The sequence below is a fragment of the Homo sapiens genome, chromosome 12 (genome assembly GCF_000001405.40).
Source record: "Homo sapiens chromosome 12, GRCh38.p14 Primary Assembly".
NCBI classification, from domain to species: domain Eukaryota; kingdom Metazoa; phylum Chordata; class Mammalia; order Primates; family Hominidae; genus Homo; species Homo sapiens.
The window spans coordinates 84,268,235-84,296,160 of NC_000012.12; the positions used below are offsets into that span (position 1 = coordinate 84,268,235).

Genomic DNA, 27,926 nt, shown 5'->3' on the forward strand with positions numbered 1-27,926 from the left:
CTAGCAGCAGCAAACAGAATGCCTTGGAGGGGTGTTGAGGGCAAAAATGGAGAAGTATATTCAAGGTATATATACTCACATATTTTAATACTTTTGGTTGTTAGTGGATAATAATAGTTTGCTCAGTTTTAATCACCATAAATAAAACCAGGTTACATGTAAGGAAGAAAACGTCAATTTTATTTTTTACTTCTGGTAAGCCAGATGTTAAAGTCACATATTTAAGCATGGATATTAGAAATTGGGTGACAAAAATCCAAGTGAATGAGAAAAACAGAAGTTTAAAATGAAATATTTTTCTAAATATGTTCAAACTCAACTGAGAATTCTACATATTGTTCTTTTAAAAGCTATTGCTACATTGTACCTTTTGTTATACAAGGAAACCACTAATAAAGAGTAGTAATAATGAGATGATAAATTTTCTCTAGTGGATTTCAATACATTTCAGTAATGGCTTACATAACAAGATAAAACTATATAGGAAAGAATAATCAGAAAATATGTGTACATATTATACTCTTTATGGTCTCATTTTATATTATTAGCTATTAATAAATTGCGTGTGTAAAAAAAATCTACTCACGACAATACTATTGAAAACAATTCCATAATTGCAGCAGGAAGAATGTGCTTTGAAAGTAGAAACAATAGGTAAACTTCAAAGTATTTGTAAAGGAAAATGAAAGGTCATTTGGGGAATTTTTACATACTTTGATTCTGTGCCCATACACCTAAATTATTGTGCCCTGCAAAACTCTGGCATCATCTCATAATGGCTTGGCCTTTTGAACATCTGAATTTAGTTGGTGGCTTCAGTAACATGGGCTTTTCCAACAGTCGTCTACATTTAGTTTTAGAATTTTGTGTTAAGAGCATTCAAAAAAATTGGAAGGACTTGAGAATAATTCCTTGAAATATGGGTTTCAGCAGAAAACAATTGCCATAGATAGCCTCTAAAGTTCCACGCAGTATTGTTAGGAACACTAGCAATACATATTGATCAAGTAGTCAAAGAATTAAGAATATAAAATTATGATTCTTCTTCAATATACCTATCTATGCCTAAAAAGAAAGCCAAGTGAGAATTGTAGAGGCTAAGGGGAAATTTTCCTCTTGTTCTCTGAAGGTTCACTAACTGATTAAAGGCAGAATAATAGAAGAAAAAGCATACAAAATTATTAATGTGCCACAAGAGTCTTACAAAAGAAGATCCCCCAAAAAGGTAAAATGGTTGACCCTTGTATACCATCTTAGAGTTGTAGAGAATATGGGGGCTCGGAGCATGGCCCCAAATAAGTCATGGTGGTAAGACAGGATATGGGAGGGAGAGAAGCAGAGGCCTGGCTAGCAAAGGTTGTCTTGTTATATAGATGAGACCTCACAGATAGCAGCCCTCAGAGACAATAGATGGAAAATGTTTCTTTCAGATAAGTAACCATGTGAGACTCTCAGTTAATCTTTCCTAGATATAAGAGAAAGCCTCAGAGTAAATCTGGTTGCATCAGTGCAGATTCTCTACAGATGCAAATCTCCCCCATAAAAGATGTTCAGGGCTAATTTTGTCTACTGGCCCTCTGAACGGCCGTCTTCAAATATGTCAATGAAGTATAGTTTGGGAAGAAATATTTTGGTTTCCTTCAGAATCAACTAAAAGATAGCATTTGATTTAGTATATAGTTGTAGTTGTAATAGAATTTGGATTTAGGTTGGACCTCATCTTAAAGACTAGGAGATGAAGGAGACAAGTTAATGTGTAAATTGTTCAGAAACATTCACATAGCATTCCCAATGGAAAATATTAAAAACAAACGAAATGTATCTATTGATTAACATACACCAATTAGATTCACAATTTATATTCCTTTAATGTTTGAAACAGATTTCATAGTTCATTTTCATTCCCAATTTGTAAGTCAGAGACTGAAACATAGGGAGTGTTATTATTCTGTTCAGTAAGTGGCATTCAACATGTTGTGATACTTTAAAATGTATTATCTTTTGGCCCCCTCTTCTATAATCCATTTTCCATTCGAACAGGGATTGTCAAAGTAAATGTTACACTGGATAAAGTTACACAGGTAAGGAAAACTTTATTCAAGGCTGTTTCAATAAGGGAGAGAGATCAGAAAATATTCTGACCTCAACTCCACTGGAAAAGGGGATGCAAGAGTTACTGAGAACTTGAATTGGAGGGCGCAATCATAAGCCATTTATACTTGTTAAATGGCTTTACACAAAGGAAAAGTAAACTTTCTTTTATATTCATGATAGAAGGTAGTTTACAACTTGAAGAAGGATGTCCTAACCAGAGTTAGTCTCCTAAACTCCCACGGAAGCTGGAAGACTGTGGCACTCCCTTCCTTAATGATTACATTTCAAAGACATTATCAAAGAGATAACTCCCAGGTGCGTGCGAAAGACATTCATAGGAATTAAAGTTGTTAAGAGGCTTTTAAAAAAGATTTACATATCAAAGTGGGTAGAAAAAGAATGGGCAATTACAAGATTTCTAACGTGAAAGATCAGGCGCCTAGAGGCATGAAGAAACTTGTCTAAAGTGAGGCAAACTGGAAGAAATGTTAATGTTCTCTTGGTCGGAATTGTTTCCCCTTTCCCACTGAAGTGTGAGTTTTAGGTAGCCCTAAATCCTTGGGTGTTGGGAATGAAGCTTGTTCAGTAATGTTGCCCATTCTCCTTATAGCGAGTACGCTTGGCAGGCAGCCAGACTCTGCCTTCTATCTCAAGTCTAGAAGGTAGAGAATGCCTTGATCCTCTTCAGGGGTAGTGGGGTACATTTTTTATCTTTCTTCTTTGCTACAGCAGGCCATTTGCCTTTATTCTGTGGGGAACAAGGTTATGGGAAAAACTTCCTGTCCTTCTGACAGGAAAAGCCTCTCCCCAGGCTTTTACTTCTAAGAGAAGCAATCTTTTTTCACAATCTTTCTCACTGGATCCAAAAAGGTCTGCAGAGAAGATCCCAGAGAGTAGGAACCTCAGTGTCTGCAGCTTCTTCCTACGCTAGCTCAAACACGACATTGAGCGAACTCCTCAAACATTTGGCTGAAATCTTGTTCACTATTGGTTTCTCTCCCTCTCTTGCTCTTCCACAGGCAGCAAGTGCTCTCCTTCTGTTTTTCATGCATGTGGGAGTCTCCAGCATTTACATTAGGTGAGTAGTGGAAAAGTGGCCCCTAGATGAAAATCAGGGTGTACTTTAATATGTGTGAAAGAATTCTGCATATGAAGAAAATGAAGTGATCACTGAAAATGTGAATTGTAATGATGTAAGGTGGAGGTGGTAATCAGTCTTGCCATGTGGAAAACTATTGCAGTGACTATTATAATGACTGCACTAATCATAAATAAGTGATGGAATATAAATTAATGCAGAAGTATTAAAGATATTATGTAGTGTAACATAATCAAACTATATAGTATGTTAATATGCCGTAACATATAAGAACATATATATATGCTGTAAAATGAAATGTTGTTAATTGAAGAAAAGGGTAACAATACCTCAGTAATTCTGTAAGTAAAACACAAATTAAACAATATTTTTATATTAGTCTACAAGATTTATGTGTACATTAATATGAGTTTTGTAAAAAATTCTTAATTCCTATAATATTTAATCTTATTTATTTGAAAGAGGCAGTTATAATAAAGAAATACATGGAAAGGCCGAGGTGGGTTGATCACCTGAGGTCAGGGGTTCAAGACCAGCCTGACCAACATAGTGAAACCCCTGGTCTACTAAAAATACAAACAATTAGCCTGGCATGGTGGTGGACACCTGTAACCCCAGCTACTTGGGAGGCTGGGGTAGGAGAATCGCTTGAACCCGGGAGGCGGAGGTTGGAGTCAGCAGAGCTCTCATCATTGATTGCACTCCAGCCTGGGCAACAAGAGCAAGACTCTATCTTAAAAAAAAAAAAAAAAGAAAGAAAGAAAAGAAAAGAACTAAAGTTTATGGTATAGAATCTAACTGTTTCTAAAATCTATTTAATTCTTAGTGCATTATGTTTTATATTTTCACCATCCCAGCTGATCACTTGTTATTAGAGATAGAGGTGCTGTGTAGTGCTACTCTGAAGAGCCCAGGCTAAGATACAGGTTGCTTGACCTTGAATTTCAGCTTCATTACTTACCAGCATGTGACCTGCATGGTGACTTAATTTCTTCATGCTTCAATATCTTCATCTGAAAGCAGGCTTTAATTCAGAATTTAATTCAGGGATTAAACAAGAATACACATACACGCACACACATATACTGTACACACACATACAAATAAAACTTAAAGCAGTATCTGGCATATAGGAAGTATTTCGAAATTAACTATTGTTAACAGAATTAGTCATATTAGATACTACGTGTATTTAGAAACACAACTATTTTCTAACAAAATTTAATGTTTTATATATAAAAAATTAAACACTGCCAACTACATTCCAAGTTAAAAAAAATGGTTTGTTCACAGGGAATTTTTATGAATATTTAAGTTGTCTTTATTATAAAAAGCAATTTTTTTAATGATTAGGTAGACTACTATAGTACATTGTAATTGGGCTGCGATCATAACAAAACAACAATAATCATAGAACAATTGAAAGCTGTTTCTATAATCACTATTATTTAGAATAGAAAATGTCTTCTATTTTCACTAGGACATCTATTTTTTGCATCTATTTTTTCTACCTTATAATCTTTTAAAATTTTCATTTCATTTTTCAGAAATTACATCCTTATGCTCTAAAAAAAAATGATGTTCTCATCTGTAAAAGGAGAAAAGAAACTATTTCAAGGTCTATAAACATGAGTGGAGACACATGCTCATAAACACATCAAGTATATGCTTACAAAAGCTTTGGAAAACCATGAGAATGGGTGGAGAGTTTAATGGAAGGGTGGAAGAGAATAGAATTTTGGATAGAGAACCAAAAAGAAATCAGAGAAAAACAGTCAAAAATGTTTAATTTGTTCATTTCATTGATTCATTCAATAATCAGCATCAAATATTCAACTTTTTAGGGTTTCTATCAGAAGCTTTTGCTGAATATCATGTGTATGCATTTTAATCACTGAATCTGTTGTTGAGTTACTGCAAAGTAAGAAATAAATTTAAGAAATAATATGAACAATTATGATGTCATGTTTAAAACATTCAGATCTATATGTATTTTTTACAATAATTGCTATCTGTTTCTGAGCAATGTGTGACATTAAGTAATCAAATACTGTATTTGGAAATACCCAAAGTAATATGATACTCTTTCAGAAGGTTTAAGCATGCTAGTGGTATTAATATGTCTTCTTAGAAATGTTTTCTTTTTGTTTTGTTTTGTTTTGTTTTTTTATTTTATTTTATTTTATTATTATTATACTTTAAGTTTTAGGGTACATGTGCACAATGTGCAGGTTAGTTACATATGTATACATGTGCCATGCTGGTGTGCTGCACCCATTAACTCGTCATTTAGCCTTAGGTATATCTCCTAATGCTATCCCTCCCCCCTCCCCCCACCCCACAACAGTCCCCAGAGTGTGATGTTCCCCTTCCTGTGTCCATGTGTTCTCATTGTTCAATTCCCACCTATGAGTGAGAACATGTGGTGTTTGGTTTTTTTGTCCTTGTGATAGTTTACTGAGAATTATTATTTCCAATTTCATCCATGTCCCTACAAAGGACATGAACTCATCATTTTTTATGGTTGCATAGTATTCCATGGTGTATATGTGCCACATTCTCTTAATCCAGTCAATCATTGTTGGACATTTGGGTTGGTTCCAAGTCTTTGCTATTGGGAATAGTGCCGCCATAAACATACATGTGCATGTGTCTTTATAGCAGCATGATTTATAGTCCTTTGGGTATATACCCAGTAATGGGATGGCTGGGTCAAATGGCATTTCTAGTTCTAGATCCCTGAGGAATCGCCACACTGACTTCCACAATGGTTGAACTAGTTTACCGTCCCACCAACAGTGTAAAAGTGTTCCTATTTCTCCACATCCTCTCCAGCACCGTTGTTTCCTGACTTTTTAATGATTGCCATTCTAACTGGTGTGAGATGGTATCTCATTGTGGTTTTGATTTTCATTTCTCTGATGGCCAGTGATGGTGAGCATCTTTTCATGTGTTTTTTGGCTGCATAAATGTCAGAAATGTTTTTTAGAACAAAATATCCCTAACAGATTAATCAATAAGTATGGCTTAATCAAATGTACAGTTCACAAGTTTGAAGACTATCATTTGATTCCCGAAACAGGCAGAGCTGCCTATCCTGGAATTAGTTTGGATTAATGGGTAGGGAAGTGCCTTGAAGTTGGACTAGAGTATTTGACTGTTTTATGTCTGACAGTGATGTGCTGCAGCCAACTTGTATTTCCCTTTGAGAGTGATTTTGTCCCAACTCTGTGTTTAGTGACAATACACTGATAGCTTCAAGCAGAACATGCTGTGAATTTTAACACCATAAAAATCAGCAAATACTACAAATGAGGGTTTATTCATCTATTTTTTCCCTCTAGAAAGTAAGTTGTTAAATATTTACCAGCTTATCACTCCTATCTCCTTTAGGGTAGAAAACTGGCCTCACTTCATTGAGAAAATTTGGGAAATTGACTCTTTTCTCTGAAAAATGTGGATGATTTGAAGTATAGGGACTGTGATTCCAATACTGGAGATGTGACTACAGTACCATATATATGTGGATGCTATTAAGCACTCCAACCAAAACCAACAACAAAAATAAATTGGAAAGACAAAAGCTATCAGTACTGTGCTTCCATGTTTTAAATCCACAGAAGAGATATATATATATATAAAATATATTATATATATATATATAATATATCCTATTAGTTCTAATTCTCTAGAGAACCCTAATACAGGTAGCCATACTTTCCTAACCAAATTCAGAGACAGTAAGAATTCTATTTTTCAGAAAATATAAATATGCTGAAAGCGATAACAATTTTAAAATGGTGGCTTAAGAAAGTGATTAGACAATGCCAGACTGCATCCAGGACCTGTTTAAAGAGTGTTGCACTTTGGCACGGTTCTTCACTTTGCCCATATCTGCCAATAGTCCTGAAATGTCATTGCGAATATTTATCAAATCTCCACACAATAAAATATTGGGACTCTATATCTCAGTTTTAAACTGTGTGACACCCAGAGAAAAACAAGCTATCAAAAACAGTGTTAGGAAGAGACTCTGGCAAGTTTCTGAGTGAAGGCATTTTCTAGTCATGTCATACATTAAATATCAGAAAGATAATGGAACTTATTTCTTACATGAAATACAACGTAAAAGATATCACTTGTAGCAGCAAAACTGGTAAATGGCATATCAATTTCCTTTTGCAGGCCCAGTTACTTGGTGTTTGGCTCTGATGTAAATAGTTGACAGGAGGCTGCATAAATTTGTGGAAAGTGAAAGAGGGACATCAAATGGAATATTTGATCAGTAATCTGTTACTAACGGGATTGATTCAATAATAAACTGAACACTAGTGAGGAATTTTATTAGGGTTGTGACAATATTCTGTTAAGTCTTGTCCTCTTGAAGGGAAGTGAACTTCTACTTCTTTCCTTTACCTCCCTTTACAAAGTAATGCAATTGTGATTTTTGAAAAGGGAGCAATTGTGGGAAGAAAATCTCAACAACAGTTCAGAATGGTAAGGAGTAACTGTAGCAACTAGGATCCAGTCAGAAGACAGTATGACACCAATTATTTTAGTAGAGAATATTTAGTAAAAAAAAAAAAAAAATGTTGTATTCCTATTGAAAAGAATGCTCAGCAAATGAAATCAGAATAGTAAAAAGACTGGCTTCCACCCTTAGGGCAGAGGTTGGGGTTATCACCACTTAGAAGCTTGGAGGAGATGCCAGGCAGCCCTGAAATTTTGACCTCTGATAGATGTGCATTCCCAAACTTATGCGGATTCACCAGGGTTATCTGAAGGGGCAAGACAAAGTTGGTTTTTCAGGTTAAAATAAATCACTGCTCCCAGGATGAAGAAGCGTTGCTGTCAGGACACTGTCAAGAATGGGAAGCAAACAGGTGGGAGCAATCTTTTCTTCTTCCAGACTTCCAGACGCCCTCCAGCATCCCATTTGGCAGAGCCTAACAGGGAGCCAACTGGCAGAACAGAATGTGGTTTGCAGAGTCCCAGCCCTCACATCACAGATTAGTGGATGTAAGAATGGGTTTGAAGCTGAGGTTAAGCTGAAACTTGATCTTGATCATCAGAAGCATGTAGTTTGTAAACTCATGAGCAATAATAATGGATGGCATTTTAAGTTAATATATTTTATTGTGGCTAATTGTACAGGAAGAGATAACTAATGCACTACTGTTTTGGTAAAAATGCTATTTTCAAATCCAAAGAATTCAGAGATTTTACCCCATGATTGTATATTGAACAAACAATTAGTGGATAAACTTTATTATTAGGATGTGATAGAGAAGATGCAGAATTATTGACTCTGAGTAAAAGTAGAACTACTGCCAAAAACAACTATGGAAATGATTACAGCATAGAGTGTACATATTTTAAACCATAAAAACATAGAAAAATTATACATACTCAAAAAGTAAAGATGGAAAAGTATTGTAGTAGATGCCTATTGAACAATAATCATTTCTGGCAAAGCTGAACTCGGTGTTTTTGTGGCCACATCTCCTGCTTTCTCATGATGTAAGAGAGTTAATCCCACTCAGATAGGTTTATATTTAAGACCATATCTTTCTCCTACTTGCAATTATTGGCAAGGTATAAGCATATCATTTACCTTAGACCAGGGTTTCTCAAACTTGGCACTATTGAGATTTTTCAGCCAAATAATTATTTGCCATAGGGGCCTATCCTGCATACTGTAGGATGTTCAGCAGCATTCCTGGTCTCGGCTCACTAGATTCAAGTAGCATCTACGCACTCCATGTCCATTGTGACACAGACAAATGTCTTTAAATTTAGCCAAATAGCTTCATGGGTATAAAATTGCCCCTGGTTGAAAAATCACTGTTTAAGACACAGAGGACAACTTTTTTTGATTGCAAGAATATTTTTTTTCTTTTTAATTAGATTATATGTAAGCTTCCCAGTCACTGCAGCCATTTTGCAACCACAGGAGAAGAAGGGAATTGTGAAAAATTCAACATTGTAAAATCAAAAAGGGGAAATTGAGAAAGAACCTTAAACACATTAATTGAGCTCCAGATTTTAGTAACAGAAGGGCTGCTAAGCCAAATAATTCTTCTTTCTAATCCAAATTTTCTGTTTCTTGCAACAGAAAGAGACCCAACATAAAATAAATTTGGTAGGAAGTAATATAAAATGCTGTTTTTTTCATATTTAATAATATTTAAACTATGAATGTATGATTTTAAAATTATATATCAAGTAAAAGGAAGTCTATTTAAGGGCATTTGACAGTGGAGTAACATAAACATATCATATTAGTCCATTCTTACCTTGCTATAAAGAATTACCTGAGACTGGGTAATTTATAAAGAAAAGAGGTTTAGTTTACTAACAGTTCCACAGGATTTACAGGAACCATGACAGCAGGCCTCAGGAAACTCACAATCATGGCAGAAGGCAAAGGGGAAGCGGGGACCTTCACACATGGTGGCAGGAGAGAGATAGAAAATGGAAGTGCCATACACTCTCAAACAACCCGATCTCATGAGAACTCACTGACTATCATGAGAACATTACGGGGAAACTTTGCCCCCTGATTCAATCACCTCCCACCAGACCCCTCCCTTGACATGTGGGATTACAATTGGAAATGAGATTTGGGTGGGGATGCAGAGCCAAATCATATCATTCCTACCCTCGGCCCCTCCCAAATCTCATGTACAACTCACATTTCAAAACTAATTGTGCTTTCCCAATAGTCCTGCAAAGTTGTAATTCATTACAGCATTAACTCAAAAGTCCAAGTCCAAAGTCTCATCTGAGACAAGACAAGTCCTTTCTGCCTACGAGCCTGTAAAATCAAAAACAAGCTAGTTACTTTCAATATGCAATGGGGCTACAGGCATTGGGTAAATTCTCCCATTCCAAAAGGGATAAATAGGCTAAAACAAAGCAGCTACAGGTCCCATGCAAGTCTGAAACCCAGCAGGGCAGTCATTAAATCTTAAAACTCCAAAATGATCTCTTTGGACTCAATGTCTCACACCCAGGACATGCTGATGCAAGGGTTGAGCCCCTAAAACCTTGAGCATCTCCAACCCTGTGGCTCTGCCAGGTACAACCCCTTTGGCTGCTTTCACTGGCTGACATTGAGTGCTCATGGCTTGTCTAGGGGCCCAGTGCAAGCTGTAGGTAGATCTACCATTCTGGGGTCTGGAGAACAGTGGCTCCCTTCTCACAGCTCCACTAAGCAGTGCACCAGCGGGGACTCCGTGAAGGGGCTCCAGCCCCACGTTTTCCCTCTGCACTGCCCTAATAGAGGTTCTCAAAGAAAGCTCCAGTCCCTGCAGCCGACTTCTGCCTGGACATTCAGGCATTTTCACACATCCTCTCAAACCTAGGCAGAGGCTTCCAAGTCTTAACTCTTGCCTTCTGTTCACTGGCATACCCAAAACCACATGGAAGCCACCAAGACTTGGGGCTTGCACCCTCTGAAGCAACAGCCTGAGCTGTAACTTGGCCCCTTTTAGCCACAGCTGGAGCTGGAGTGGCTGGGACACAGGGTTCCATGTCCTGAGGCTGCACAGAGTAGCAGAGTCCTGTGCTCAGCACACAGTACCATTTTTCCCTCCAGCCAGTGATGGGAGGTGCTGCCACAAAGGTCTGTGACATGTCCTGGAGACATTTTCCCCATTGTCTTGACCATTAATGTTAGAATCCTCTTCACTCATGAAAGTTTCTGCAGCAGGTGGCTTGAATTTCTCTCCAGAAAATAAGTTTTTCTTTTTTACCACATGGTCAGGCTGCACATTTTTAAAACTTTTATGCTCTGCTTCCCTTTTAAACATAGTTTCCAATTTCAGACCATGTCTTTGTAAATGCATATGATTGTATGCTGTTAGGAGCAGCCAGGCCTCTTGTTGAATGATTTGCTACTTAAAAATTTCTTCTGCCAAATACCCTAAATCATCTGTCTCAGGTTCAACAATCCACAGATTCCCTAGAGCAGGGCACAATGCAACCAGTCTCTTTGCTAAAGCATAGCAAGAGTTACCTTTGCTCCAGTTCCCAATAGTTACTCATCTCCATCTGAGACCTGCTCAGCCTGGATTTCACTGTCCATATTACAATAGACAAAGCCAATTCAACAAGTTTCTAGGAAGTTCCAAATGTTCTCACATTTTTCTGTCTTCTTTTGAGTCCTTCAAACTGTTCCAACCTCTGCCTGTTACCCAGTTCCAAAATTGCTCCCACATTTTCAGGTATTTTTATGCAGTGTCCCACTCTCCCAGTACCAATTTTCTGTTTTATTCCATTTTTACACTGCTATAAAGAACTACCTGAGATTGTGTAATTTATAAAGTAAAAAGGTTTAATTGACTCACAGTTCTGTGTGGCTGGGGACACCTCAGGAAATTTAACACTCATGACAGAAGGTGAAGGGGAAACAAGGCATGTCTTACCATGGTGAGGCAGGAGAGAGAGAGAGAGAGAGCAAGGATGGGAAGTGCCACACACTTTCAAACAACCAGATCTTATGAGAACTCACTCACTATTATGAAAACTACAAGGGGGAAGTCCCCCCATCCGTAATTCAATCACCTCCCACCAGACTCCTCCCTGACATCTGAAGATTACAATATGAGATAAGATTTGGGTAGGGACACAGAGCCAGAGCCAAACCATATCACAATCCATGTCGAATTCTGGTAATAGAAAGCAGGATGGGTGGTTGAGGAGGTGCCATTATAATAATTTCTTTACAGTTCATTCTGGGAAGTCAATCAGCATTTCTAATGAAACAAAAGAATACTTATAAATGTAACCACTGGAACTTAAAATGAAATATAAACTTTTCAAATTACTGACAAAGAGAAGCAGATTAAAAAACCAACATATTTCATATTTTGACATTTAACAGTTAAACAGTGTTGAAATAGAGTGCTTAATTTAAATATTAGAATAACTTTACAATTAACCATTAGCATTTCATAGATTTTCAAGTTTTATTAGCAATTCAACAAACTGATTTTCAAATTATATAACAAAGCAAAACATTACTGCATATAAGAGATATACAGTGAAAAGAATGATTTAAGTGTGGTAAATTGTAAAATTTTTCTAAAATTATTTGCTGTTCTTTCCCATATTACACATCTCAGTGAATTGCCTTATGACTTATAGAGGCTTCCTGGAGGGATGGAGTTTACTTCCCCGCCCCAGTGACATTCCTCGGCTCTAAGAACAGCTTTAGCCAATTGAATGTGAACAGTTGTAAAATATACTGTACCTATGTAGAGCAGAAAGTTTAAGGGGTATCACATGATTCTTCAGCTCTTTTATGCCCATTCCTTCCTACCACAATAAAACGTAGGTGTAACAGTTAAAAGATACTCCTTCAGTTTGGATCTTAGATCAAAGAAGACACAGAAGTAAGCTAAAGCCAATCTACAGTGACTTGCAATCCTATACATTGAGAATCAAAAATTAACACTGGCGATGGTAAGCCACTGAGATACCAAGGTTACAGTACTGAAGAGGAACTTAGTGAATGCTATCTAATACAAAATCTGACACCCTAACAATACATCCAAGATGTAAGGCAATTGTGGAGGTATTATATATTAATAAACTGAAGAGCTTCTTCTTCAGGGCATGATCTTCAGGGAATATTCTCTATGGCTGCCAGAAACATAATTCTTCTGAGAAAGGTCATATTTTTCTTTCATACTCTGACATTAATTTCCCAGAACTTCTTTTCCTACAAATATCATCTGTATAGTTATAACAAAACAACAGATCCTAAATGTTAATTATAGTTCTAAAAGATCCTGAGTTATTTCTACATCATCAAGAGAAAATTTGCAGTCTTTTGTAGGGGGTACAATATTTGAATTTCATTTAACAACTATTCTTACATAAAATGTGTAATAAATAACAACAACAATAACAAAATACATATTACATGTTAATTCAAGTTCTATTATAAGTTTGCATTATATTAGCTCAATTAATGCTCCTAACAATACTATGTGTTTTAACCCTATTTAACTAATTAGGATATTGTGACTCAGAGAGGTTGATTAAGGTCCAACATAATGGAAGTATTAAGTGTCAAGAATTTTTTTTTTTTTTGAGATGGAGTCTTGCTCTGTTGCCCAGGCTGGAGTGCAGTGGTGTGATCTCAGCTCACTGCAAGCTCTGCCCCCTGGGTTCATGCCATTCTCCAGCCTCAGCCTCCTGAGTAGCTGGGACTACAGGCGCCCACCACCACACCCGACTAAATTTTTTTTATTTTTATTTTTAGTAGAGACAGGGTTTCACGTGTTAGCCAGGATGCTCTCGATCTCGTGGTCCGCCCACCTCGGCCTCCCAAAGTGTTGGGATTATAGGTGTGAGCCACCACGCCCGGCCCTAAGTGTCAAGATTTGAACTCCGACTGTGTGAGTTCAGAACCTGTCCTCTTAATGTCTATACACTTATATAAATTTAATTTTTTTAGGAAAAAAATATATATTCTAGGGTATTCTAAGGTATGAGCAATGCTTATCTTTCAGTAAACAAAAGATTTAATCAGAATACCAACATGTGTCCAATATTACATTATACCACAGAACATATATATTTCTTAAAAATAAATGGAAAATACCCGATACCTTTGAATATGACAATTTATGAAAATAGAAAATTGAATGCTGACAAAACACAGATGTCTGGATTTTGTTAGGTGAATAGTAAGATATTTTATAATAAAACACTTAAACTCTGGTTTCTAAAGTTCTGAAATGGCTTAATTATCTGAAAATGTGCATGACCCATGTGTTTTATACACACCTTGTTACATATTTAGAAGTTACTGGCCTAGTGTGGTGGCTTATGCCTGAAATCTCAGCTACTTGGGAGGCTGAGGTGGGAGAATTTCTTGAGCCCAGGAGTTTGAGGTCACAGTGACATATAATAGCACCATTGTACTCCATCCTGGGTAACATAGTAAGACTCCATTTATAAAATAATAATAAGAAGAAAAAAGATAAGTGCATTTTCATAACCTTTTTGTTCTTAACTAAGTTACAATTTTAGTTTTTACTACATTAATTTTTACAAAATACATTTCTTTTCATTCTTTCCTCAATGACTGACATAATTTCATCTGGATAAATTTATTCTAGGGTAGAAACTCTGAGATCATGGAAGTTAAAAAGATCAAAGTTCCAACTCTTAATACGTACATCAATGATTCCAATTTTAAATTAAGTTAGAAAAATCATTTTATGGACATAACTTTACCCATCTTTTGTCAATTTATCCTTTTTCTGCTCATAGAATGGATCGCATCTCAAAATTAACCCTAGTGTGAGTAGGGCTTTTGCTGTTAGAATAAATAAAGACTACAAAACATCTGAGGAAACAAAGTAGAAAACAATCTTCTGGAATTCGTCTACATATTTTCTTAAACCATCTATGTCCTGGGCAATTTGGGAACTTTCAGACGAGTCTCAGAATTTTCCCAGACTCACTTTTAAATAGTTTTCATATGAAGCTCCTACAAACTAACATCTAAACCAGTTGCTATAGGTCTGGAATTTTCGTTACTAGAACAAATCTAAATTTCTCCGTAAATTTCTCAGTATCCTATCGAGGCTTTGGAATGTCTTTAACACCGAATCTCAGTTCAGACTGAGACTAGAGTTTAAATTCAACCGTAACGGGCTTGGTCTTTTCTGAAGGGAGTTTAATCTTTGAGATGTAATATAGCCTCAATAATTTCTGACCTACAAGAGGGGTCATGATCCTGAGTCATGAGGAGATATAGGGAACATATTAAACCAGAGAAAAGTAATTACAATGATAGGATTCAATCAGATGAGTATAAGCTTCCTCAGAACAATAAAAAACACAAATCATTAGATGTTCAAATCTTTGCTTCCACTTAGTTCGAATGTTCCTATCAAGAAAACAATTTGGCTTACATTGGCAATTCTCCAAAGGAGGTACTAAAATTTTAAATTATACTTGGTAAAATTGGCCATTTAGAAATATCAACGCATAAATAATAGTTATAGAGTGAACACATGTAAGAATTAAGTCTAACTTGGGGGAAGAATGGACTTAAATTAAAATGATCCCTTGAGAATTTGGTAAAAATTAATTAACTATATTGCTTATGTACTTTGTATCTCAGACCCCCAAACTAATGTGGCCACCTCTAACTGCAGAACTACTAAAGCCATAAAGCCAGTCTTCAAATAATAAAATGTTTAAAATGAAATGTTTTCTAATTCCAGAATTTTTTTAAACAAAAGAAGGCAACACGTAGAAAGCTTTTATACTGTTTTGATAAGTTTCAAAGGCAAAGTTTTTTTTTTAAAGAAGCCACTCTAATGAAAATATTTATTTTATTTTTCATCAGAACTGGTTTGAGAGATGAAAATGTTAGATGTATGCCTGTTTCTGTCCTACTAACATTCTTTTCAAGTTTTCCTATGCAAAGGGATGAAGACATCTGTGAGCTCAACAGAAATAAATTGGAGCTAAGACACAGTGAGGGACCTGCCTTGTCACCACAATGTGGAGGTCCCCAAGCAGAAGGCCTAAGAAGCCTCAGGGAACCTTGCTCATTCCAATTCAAGGGTTTTGAGCCATGGCAGTGGAGAGGTTTGGCTTGTTGGAAATGGAACTTTCAAGATTGTTGACTTACCTAACCCGTGGAGATATCCTAAGATATCTATTGCTCAAGCAAAACTGAGTTAAATATAAATTTTCTCTAGTAAGATCATTATCTTGACAAGTCTTAGTAGTACCTCAAAAAAGAAGTTAGAGAAGGGTATTTATAGGTTTGGGTTTCTGGATACAAATTGTTCAACATAAGAATTTCAAGGTAATTAACTTTCAAATTGAGCTAATTCACACAATTATACTTTAGGATAAGAGGACATATACTGTAGTAGGATAAGGGTCTGAGATAAATTTTGATAAAAAAAAGTTATTTTTTTTCCAGGTGAGAAAACTGTTATCCAAATAAGAAAGCTGTTTGCCTAGATGAGAAAATTGGTTGCTTGGTTAAACTGGTTTATACAAATATTCTAAAGCAAACAGTGAAGGTCTGTATTTGTTTGTACTTTTATATTTCCTACAGTAAACAGATAAGTTATGTTTACACAGGTGGTCTTGGTTTTAGTGTATATTTGGGGAGCAAGGGCATGATACTAACCTATACTCATAGTTTTGAGGTACAATTTTCCTATACGTGTACCAAGTTGCTTATTATTACTTTAATTTTTTGATATCTTTTAGAAGATAGTAGGTTCATTTTGAATTTTGTCTAGTGTATCACCATTTTAATTTATAGAATGCAATTTTACATGGATGCTTTGAAAATCCCTATTCAAATGAATACCCTATCAGCCTGCGTTTTCCTTTATGATGCATATAGTTGACATAATTTTTCCACTTTTTTCTGAGAACTTTTCTTCCACCTACAAAATTCTTGTGTTTAGAGTGGAAGCAGGCATTTTTAAGCTTGACCAAAGACAATTAAAAATCTCTTCTCTGGGAATTTATTGCTAAGAAATAAATTATTTCTTAGTGACTTATATGACAACTAAAATACCCCCAGAAATCATATTTGTGTGTGTTTGTGAGTGCACATGCATGTTTGCCATATGGGCTAGAATATCAGAGGATGAGTTGACTTCCAGAAATTGAAGAATAAACCAGATATTTAGAAAGTAACAATGATGAGGTGAATAGGAAAAGTACTGCTAGTATCCGGACTGGCTACATAATTTGTGGGCTCCGTGCAAAATGAAAACATGAGCACTCTAGTTTAAAAAGCAGGAAAAAAAGTGCTATTAAAAGGCACTGAAATACAAACTTTTCTACTTTTTCTTGGTAGTCTCTCTTTTAACCTGTCATTGTGTTTTAAAAATTTTCGTAATGTTTTGCTCCCTTGTGAACAAATGACACTTGCAAGGCAAGTAAGGACCCTCAGAAGTACCTACTGAAGCAGAAGTTCTGGGTTGTTCTTTCTGCCAGCCACTGGACAGAGATACTGTGACCCAGAGAGCAGGGAAAAAGCAATGTTTCTTTCCTACAAGCCCATAGCCCCAGCCCACAGTGACAAGCCCCCCAAAGGATGGTAACCTCTGCACTGGAATACACTTAGTAGGTGTACTGACTTAATGGTATAGGAAAGCCTCAATCTGCAGAATAAGTGGCAGGGCAGGGGCCAAGGCTTCCAGGGGGCAGGAGTAGCAGGGGTTACTGGGCAGCTGAGGGGTAATACAAGCAGGCCAGGGTGCCAGAGAACAAGGAGAGGGTAGCCTGGAGGAGAAGAGGAAGTGGAAGGTGGGACAACACAAGCACGTAGGCTTCAAGCCCTAACATGCTCTTGTGTCCTATCAAAATTCACTTATACTGTGCAATTTCAAAGATAAAATGCTTAAGCATTTATTTTATTTTATTTTATATAGAGACAGGGTATCACTGTGTTGCCAAGGCTGGTCTCAAACTTCTAGTCTCAAGGGATCCTCCTGCTTCAGCTTCTCGAGTAATTAGGATTACAAGCACAGGTCACTGCACCAGGCTAAGAATTTTAAGGGGGCAATTACAGAACGTTATATCTTAAACAAAGGCCTTCCTGGGTAAGAGTCTCCAGATTGGTCACAAACTCATGAACCTGGCAAGTATTGTAGTCCCTGGTTCCAGTTTGTTCCTGAGACACAGCTGTGTCCATATCCTTGGAATTTTGGAGACAACCATGTATCCTTATAACTTGCTGTCATTATTTTTTTTGCTCAGGGTACCCAGAGGGACGATAATTTATATTAAGAATCCCATTCACCCAATGGCCTATTTCTCTCCATTCCCTTATTCTTCCTTTCTACTGTCCCCTCTCCATCTTCCTCCCTTCTTCTAACTTTCTGTCATTCTTCTTTGAATGTTTTATCCTAAGATTTATTTTGCCATGTGTAGTCATGAAATACCTACTATGCCTCCAACTCTATAGCTGTGGTATAGGAGAAATTGAATTACCTCAGAGAGGCATTCGCTCCTTAAATTCATGATATTCTAGCATCTTTTCAATTGGAATAATTAAAAACATGCTTATAAATTAATTTGAGCTCATTTATTGGTTCAGAATTTACTAAGACAGCAAGAAGACTTTTAATTAAAATGACTAAGTCTTAAATATAAACAACCCTCTAGACTTCAAATAATGAGAGTAAATAAATTATTCTATTTGTTTATCTTTGAATAGTGATTGTAAAAATGGTGCAAGTAAATGTAAACAATAGAAAAATAACATTCATGTTCTTAACAAAGCAAAGCATATCAGACCTAAAAGATCTGTAGGTAGAAAAGTGATCTTTCTCTTTAATAGTTTCTGTTTCTTACGTCGAATTATTATACGAACTGTCTCCAAACCTAAGGCATTAATATTTAAAATGCTAGGTGTTACAATAGTGGTTTAGAATGCTTCTTTGAAACAAAAATCCCATCTAGCAAATTTAATATACTTAGGCCACAGAATATATTCTTCATTCTTAAATAACTGCCAAAGTACCCGTAATGCTAATTCAATTGAGACTTTTTCGGTAAAGGGCAGTGCCTATTAGCACATTAACATTCATAAAAAATGATGGCTTTTAGAAGCACATCTTAGAATAAAATGGAAGAGTACTCTTTGTAGGCTTAAAATGGTCACAGCTCTAATATCTACAATGATTCTAAAACACTTTTCCTGATTCTAAAAGAATACAATTATTGATGTGCTCTGTGACCTGGAAAAAGACTGCAGAAAACCCAAGACAGCAGTGTCTCTGATGAAACAATCGATCTATTCTCAGTTATTGTTCTACTTACATTTCATCCTTGCTTGTTAATTTGAAGTTTATAAAATGCCCAACACTGTCTCATCAATGATTTATCTGTACAGTTTTTTTTACTGTATTTTAAGTAGTTTTAAAACATACAACTCTCTAAAAACCATGCTAAAAAGGTACAAGTACAGTTATTTTACTTAATATTTTTAAAGACAAAGGAACTTTAAATCTTCATTACCAACACTATTATAACCACCATCTGATCTCTTGCCATTCTTACTCTTTCGAGATTGTGTTTTTATAATTGCCCTTCTCTCTTGTGTATTCATAAACTCTTACTTTCCATTGACACATTATTCTCAGGAAATAAACATTTGCCTCTCTTTCTTATATTAAGTAAGGGTTTCAAAGGAGTCAGAGGCCCTTCTGAAGCCACCACAATTGAGCCTACTATTTGCCACCAAAATTCTTAATGCTGGTAGAACAGTTGATGTATATTGGCTCAAATTCCTCACCTACAACACTCAGTGGGCATCCTGACCCTATAATGCTACCTAAATTACTTTTTCCAAAGACAGGTAATGACCTAATTGCCATATCGCAATTTAGTCATCCTTCAATAAGATGTTTGCCAGTATTTAACCATCTCTTCTAAAGAAAACCACATACACACACACACACACACACACATACACACACACACACACACGCACATCATCATGATCACCTAAGCATCAAAAATAACATTGTTTTTGCTCTCTTTCAGTAAATCTGTTCACTATTAAATTCCTTTTCACAGTTTCCCATATTTTACTTGATTTTAAATTTGACAGATGAACTGCCCCTAGGTCTTCACTTCTCATTTTACATAGTATCTTCGGGCAACTCACTCCATTCCCATGATTTCAAGTGGCCAGCATTGAAATGAAATCTTTTCATATTTGGCCCTTAAAATATTGATGCGTTTCCCCTCTTTTCAGAATATCATGAGATTTTAAAAATATATATTATTGTCGAATTTTGACAAATACTTTTTTGGCATCTATTGAGATGGTCTTTTTTTCTGTTTTACTCTCTTAATAGTGACATCCATCTTACACACATATCTTGCACGCTGATTTTTCAAAAGTTACATTCATCTTACCTACTGGAATAAATCTAACTTGGCCGCAATGCATTATCCTTTTTATACATTGTTGGATTAGATTTGCTAATACTATATTAAGAATGTTTGTAACTATGTTGATGAGGATATAGTTCTGTGGATTTATTCTAATTGTTTTTAGTATTAAAATAATGCTGGCATTAGCATCATAGAATGACTTTTGATAATATAATCTCTTCTGCAATTGCCATTTAACTTGTGTCTCTACTTGTTCCTTGATACATTTGGCCTTTTGTTTGGTATAGCAGACAGGGTGATCCAGTTAAAAATATAATTTAGATCATTTGCCATTCTCTAATACTAGATGAGTGCTCACTACCTTTGTATCTAAAGAAGTGTCAGATGACCAGTCACAGAGGCTTATTTTTTTTTTTGAGAATGACAGCTAAAACCATTCCTAACAGGTCAGTTGCAGACAAAAGAAAACAATTCTTGCAGAAATGAGTATAACTAAGTCCAAGATGGCTTACAAATTTTTTGTAGTCCTAGAGTGGTAGGTTCTAGATGAAGCTTCCTCCAATAATCCTCAGCCTCCAGGGTCATGCTGTTCCTGCTATGACTGACCAAGATGCTGCTGAGGCCTCAGGAAGCCAGCATCTCAGGAAGTCTTGCTAAAATTTGTATCAATGAACGAATGCCTTGCACCATGCTTCTCTCTGCCCAAACACATTTCAATTCTGAATCAGAAATCACAGATGTACATCACAGTATAGAATTGAAATTATCCTGAAACAATCTACCTACAAGTGAATTTAGAAACGTACACTTTTTTGTGTGTGTGCATGTGTATTATATTAATTGTTGCTATTTTTTGTTAGTTTATTTTTAGCTTTATAGCTAAGAAGGTACACTTAAAGATATTGGAATGAGCAATAAATAAATCAGGTTTCAGATGAATCCTCTTTCGAATAGGAGCATTGGATTTGTGCATTGTGGCAGCTCTGCTCCATTAAAAAATAATGGCTTCTGCAATTAAAAAAATGTATGTGTGTGTGTATATACATATATATATGTGTGTGTGTATATATATATATTTAGACTATACTTTCAGGTTTCTTCCATAATTAAATGACATAAAAATGGAAATACAGAAAAAAAGTCAAGATTTGTATTCTCTTTGAACATTTTAAAATTTTTATGAAGTTACATGTTTTAATGAAATGATTCAAATATTTAAATTAAATTACTTTATTGTGACTTCATATAGAAAATCATGATGTATTTGCAGGAAAAAATGCTGGCATTTTTAGAAGAAAATTTTCATTTAAAATATTTGATGCAGTTACTCAACATTTTAGCTGCTTAGAATAACACAGAACTTAAAATTAATCAATTTTTTTTGGTGATTAGCATTTGATATGTGTGCTAGCTATAATTAAGAAATAATTGATATTAAGGTTTCTGTAGTGTAGCAGTTATCACCTTTGCCTCACAAAATAATTGAGGCTATTGTCAAAATTCATCAAAGGAATTTGAGCACTATGTATTGCTGTACCAACTAGTCAATAACAAATTATATGATCAAATGAAATAATTTTAGTGCTTACTACAAGAGAAGAAAAAAACACTTTGCAAAATTGTGAAGTATAATATATTTCATTAAATAAAAAAAGAATGATGCTATGTATTTTGGAAATTTTAATACTAGTTTAAACTCCTGTATTTTTATATTCAAAATGTATGAGTATAATGTTATTTTTGGCTTTACTCAGTTCTGCTAGGTTCAAACTTACAAACATGTGCAAACAAACACACACGTAGATTGTCTATTATGACAATACTCAAATTATAGTAAACTAATTTTTTATTGTTCTGTTCTGGAAACAGAATTGAAAAACAATGTCATTATGTGTAAAACATAATCAAAGCTATTTTTATTTAGATTCCAAACAATAGTCTCATTGCTATTTTTATTCCCTTGAATGGAAGTATTTTATATGACTCAGTAGATTGCAATATTTAACTTACTATTTTTATTCATCTTTATTTCATTTAAGACATTAATGTTTGCTAAAGAGAAAAAAAAAGTTTATCTTCCCTCACACAGCTTTCTAAATATAACTCCCTTATTTTAATCCCTATGTAAACTTTTGATGCCCAGCCATATTTTGTTCATATTAAATTCAGTAAATAAATCCTGCAGCACACTTGTTCATGAACATTAAATGAAGGCAGACTTATGAGTAAATACTTCTTGTCTCAAACTGAATGTTTCCTAAATGCTATTTGAAATGTTTCATCAACATTTAAAAAGTTATCTTAAATATTCCACAACAAAAAAAGACAACAAATTATAAATAGCATTTTAACCCAAGAACCAAAATGTCCCAAACTTCTGGATTATGATACTTTGGCCCATAATAGATGCTGTGGCTTTCTGGTAAGAAACGATGCCTTTAAGAAAAAAAAAATCTGCCTAGAAGGTAGATTTTACAGACTTTACTTTCTGTTTTGAATTTGGAAATGACCCCAGACAGATTTTCATAGCATGTCAAATTATCAGTAAATAAATCAAGTTAAGAGATTGCTGAATTATATTATTTACATGAGGTTAACTTTTTTTAAGTTAGTATTTTCTGTTAGCAATAAAGACTGCTCAGCTACTTCAGTCAATTCTCCATCTTTTCACACAAACAGACTTACATCTTAGGAAGCAAATTCTATTTGCTTTTAACATATATATGGGAAGGATGTTCCGATAAATGGGTCAAACTATTTTCTGAGTTGAATTTATACAGAAAATTTTCTGTCAGTATGAATGAAAATTACCAGGAAGTAGATAATGCTATTGTTTCATCACTATATATATATATATTTACACACATATAAAACATAATTGATAAATAACAGTATATATATATTTCATCACTATATATATATATAAAACATAATTGATGAATAACTGTAAACACTCAGACTTCTTTACTTCAAATAGAGCTTGGACAGGACTCTTTCATTTTAAAAAGCACATTGGTTCAGTACTTATGAACTTCCTGTTACCAAGAGTAACTCTTAAAGACAGTGAGAAATTGCTCATTGAGAAATTGTTTAACTAGTCCAAACCTACACACATCTATTCATCATTTAGCTTCTGGTTTAGAACATCAAAGGTATTTAATAAATACATGTCATAGAACTCAGTAGTGGATATTTTTACAAAGGCAATCAACAAAACATATTGATTCTCAAAACTGTGTTAACAATGTTTGCACGTGTCAGAGCTACAGGGGTTGAGAGTACTGGTAGATATTTCTGAAAATGATAAGGTTCTGCAATGAAGGTCTTGGGAAACGGAAAAATCCTATAAGTCACCAATTATAAGGTGCATATTTTTCATATTGTAACATTTAAAATTAGGATGTATGTTACAATCAATACTGTATTAAAATCAAAGTTTGTCAATCTGTCAATGTCACGTTTTTATTGTTTCAACATGCATGGAATTTGGTTGTATGATTAAGAAGATATCTGCATCAAAACTTACAAAATGGGAGGCTGTGTCTTGGAAGAAAATCTCAGAGGCCATACTGGAGCACTGTCTTAAGAAACAAATTACTAAATCCTCTTGATGACAGAGAATGATTCTGAATATCAAACACTGACAATTCAAGCTGAAACATAATTTAGTAAAAGTTGAGGCAGAATTTGGAACAGTTTCAGAAGTTTATTTCACTTATGTTTTCCTTTTATGTACACACAAAAGTGCTACATGATTAAATATATGTTTAAGCCTAAAGGCATATTTATACTAGTATAAGATAATTATAAGTAGAATGAAACATTATATATCATATTAACAATATCAACAGTGATTTTTGTTTCCTTTGAGGATTAGAAATTTTAGAACCAGACACAGCCAATGATGCCTTAGATTTGATAAAATATGGCAATGGTGATATAATATGAAAACTAAGATAGAGAAAAACACAGAGCTATGCAAGATCCAATGAGAGTAGTAAATTAGCATAGCCTGTGGAAGTAAGGGGAATATTTGAAAAAGAACCGACAATGGAACTGAGCCTTGAAGGAAGACACACAGATTTTGACCAGTAGGAGAAAAGCAAAGGTTTTCCCTACAACAGGCACAGAAGCATGACTTTGCATAGTGTCCAACACAAAAAAAACGGCCATAAATGTTGTTGAAGCATTTTGTGCAATGTGTTTCTTAAAGTATTATAAAAGAAATATGTTCATCACTGAAAGGTTTCTGTGGTCAAATAAGGTTAAGAAAAACTGCATATTATATCCTCTCCTCCTTTGGAAATTTCACAATATTACATTAATGAATTAGAGATTTGGTTTAATTTTTTAAACTGAATATATTTTGACACAGGATATACTCTTGGGAAATGTCAGGGTAGAGAATAGATTAAAAGGGGAAGGGTGTAGAGATAGGACTGATTATATAACATAGGCCTTTAGGCCTTTTGCATATCAAGCACGATGCTTCAAAGAGTTTTGGGTTTTCTTATTGGAGAAATTATTGGCCATCAAAAAATGAACAGAGAGTCTGTATTTGAAATAAAAAAGTTAAAAATAAAAAAGTTGAGATTTAAAAAAATTAATACAATTTAATGTTAGCTTTTCAAGAAGAAGGAATAAATCATTTGCTCTTCTTCCACTACATAATAGGTATGCAATGTGAATGCTAATGATAAAATAGACTAGACAAGTGTGACTCTAAAATAAAATAGAAAGAAAAAACAGTACTGGATATATTATTGATTGTCTCTGAAGCATCTTCCAGCTAATTACATTTTAAAATACTCATAAAACTATTGAAATATAGATCAACATAATACAATAGAAATTGAATTATTGAAGAATAATTCCTATGATAAATCCAATTGTTTTAAGGAATTTTAAAAATAATAATAATAATTACTATTTTTGAGACAGTGTCTCTCTCTGTTACCCAGGCTGGAGTGCAGTGGCACTGCAAGAACTCACGGCAGCCTTGACATCCCAGGCTCAAGTGTTCCTCCCACCTCAGTCTCCCAAATAGCTGAGAATATAGGCTTGTGCCACTATACCCCGCTAATTTTTTTATATTTTGTAGAGACAAGGTCACACTATACTGCCCAGGTCCCGAACTCCTGGGCTTAAGTGATTCTCCAGCCTCTGCCTCCCAAATTGCTCAGATTATAGATGTGAGCCACTATGCCTGGACTAAAATTTGTTGATGTAAGGATAGAATGTTTGGAGGTTTACCTGTAAATTCAATATGTATATAAATGGATATTTACACATAAAATTTGACAATTCATTTAGTTTGCAACCCATTTTCCCAAAATGAGGATTAATTATCCATCCCCATTAAAACATATCTTAGAATAGGTTCATAGCTTACCTTCCTTAATGTGACTTAGCAAGACAGTATTTTGGGATAGATTGCCAGGTAAATTATGATGTATATAATCATATGAAAGCTTATCATCAGGGTCTGTTAATCAGCTCAACCTAGTTGGAAAACATTCTAGTAAAGTATTACAATAAATCACTTATCCAATCTCACTGATTGTATTATTTTATTTTCATATGAAGATTGAAACTTGAGTGTATTAACATCATACAAAGCCTGAGGATGCATTAGGTCTGGCTTTGCATTTCACTAAATATGACGTTGGGAAATGCTGTTAAGACCACAAAAGAAGAAACATGACCTTCACAACAATAAAACAGTATCATACATGCTGGTCAAATACACTGAGCACTAGCAAGGGCTGAAAATATTGTTTTAAGCTAAGAGATGTAATTGGTAAGTAAATGCACTTTTGACTGTCCCATGTTTTCGACATGATTTTTGAAACTCTGATTCTTTTTACTTTTCTTCAGACGTAAAATAAAAGTACAATGGATGCATAGGGAATAGCACAGCTGCAGGTCTGAGTAACTTAGTTGACACATTTGCTTTGTTTTTCCCCAGCAAGAGTAACAGCCGTGGTGGCAGCATCTGGATCCTTGATTGACAGCATTATGGAAAGTTACTGGCCAGATACTCCTTACTTAAGTTGGCACCAATCAACTTGCCTGGGGATCAGTCAAATGGGGTGAGGTGAGGGGGACTTCAGGAGATCCTTCCCAGATGGATGCCAAATTCCTTTGATAGCCCTGTCATTGTCAAGAATTTCTTCAAGTTTATGTGTATAAGAATAAAATCTTGTTCAAGTTTATGATGATTTCTTCCACATGTTAAGACCCTTTTTATGACACAGAACAAAGGCCAAAATCATTCAAGTAGAGGCAAACGGAGGGTTCAAAAGATCTATTGGCTGACACACAATTTGATGCATTATTAAACTACATATTTCACCATGTGATAGAGAATTCATTTTTCAATGTGTTAGATGAAATAAAATTTCTACCAAAATGAAAGAACCCTTTTGAGATGTCAGATTTACAGCACAGCTGAAAAGATTAATGACTTCAACCCAGAGAAATTTTATTTACAGATAATGCAAAGAAAGAACAAGCTGATTTCATAGTTTGACACCAACGAATGAACAGAACATTTATCTAGTAAAACTATCACTTTCTTTTAGATGCCAAGAGCAAATTTGCTGAGGTTAACCACAAATGAAGATTTATAGTATATAAGGGTTAGATGAAATACTAAAAAACCTTAACTTTCTGATGTTTAATTCCTCGGCAAATGTCTGCTTTTGTCAGGCTATGCTTTGAGACCACCAGTGATAGAAGTTCTCTACTTTCTGAGGCAGACAATTGAAAAGTATATCCTTGTCTTTCATGGAACTTATTAACCCTCTAGATAATATGATCTAACAATATCTGTGGTATCTGATACCACTTATGTTAGTCTGCTTTCCAGATATTTGAAGGCAACCATTTTATCCTACCACTCTTCCTATTTTGACTCAGCCATTTTCAGGACAGCTGACTCACCTTCCAACAATTATGGTTTGTATATTTTATAACCATTTATTTCCCTTGCATACATTTCAATTTGAATATAGTTCCTAAAGTGTAATTCTTAAAACTAAGTAAGACTAAATTTGAACCAACCATTCTGGAATATAACACATTTAATAATTACAAACCAAGATTCTATTAAATAATACAAGTACTATTTAATATGGTAGATTCAAGGACATAGAGAATCCACAGGATATCCCAGAAATATCAAATCAAAAAGGTCAGTATTTGTTTAATTCATTATTACCTTTGTTGGCTAACATAAGAAACTATTGTACCCATTCTTTATCTTCAAAAAGCTTATAATCTAATGGGATAGGAAACTAGTAGTTACATGATAAAAATTGAGTGTAGGAAGCACTATTGTTGAAACACAGCATATTCTATCTTTTCTGTTGAGGAGATGTGAGGTCTTCAAACTCTAAATTCCTTTTGTTCATTGCCAATTATGGTTTAGATAATTAACCTAAGAATGTCAAGTCTATTATCTTACTTTTCATCTGTTGTTGTTTCATCATTATTCATAAATTTCACAAGTATTTTATTTGCTCAGTAAAATTATGAAAATATCTCTTATTCTGTTTTCATCATTTTTTTTCTGATTTATTTTCCTTTTCTTTTTTCCTACTTTTATTTTGGATTCAGGGAACACATGTGCAGGTTAGTTACATGGGTAAATTGCGTGTCACTGAGACTTGGTCTACCAATTATCCCATCACCAAGATAGTCAGCATAGCATCCAATAGGTAGCCTTTCAATGCATGACTCCCCCTCACCCTCCATTGTCAAGCAGTCCCCAGTGTCTATGGGTCCCATCTTCATGTCCATGTGTATGCAATACTTA

General features: G+C 34.9%; 1 long non-coding RNA gene across 1 annotated transcript, besides 1 other annotated feature; it reads left to right on the forward strand.

The window, feature by feature from the left end:
• Positions 2,109 to 2,831: an enhancer, noted in NCBI's record as "OCT4-NANOG hESC enhancer chr12:84664122-84664844 (GRCh37/hg19 assembly coordinates)". NCBI's record gives its function as "activates a minimal SCP1, AML or CMV promoter by ChIP-STARR-seq in primed H9 embryonic stem cells {active_cell/tissue: H9 hESC(primed)}" and the evidence as "EXISTENCE:reporter gene assay evidence [ECO:0000049][PMID:30033119]".
• On the forward strand, positions 3,057 to 26,322 carry LOC124902976 (uncharacterized). Its single transcript, XR_007063391.1, has 2 exons — positions 3,057 to 3,172; positions 26,076 to 26,322. It is a non-coding gene; the product is annotated as an uncharacterized LOC124902976 (long non-coding RNA).
• Positions 26,323 to 27,926: the final 1,604 nt, after the last annotated feature.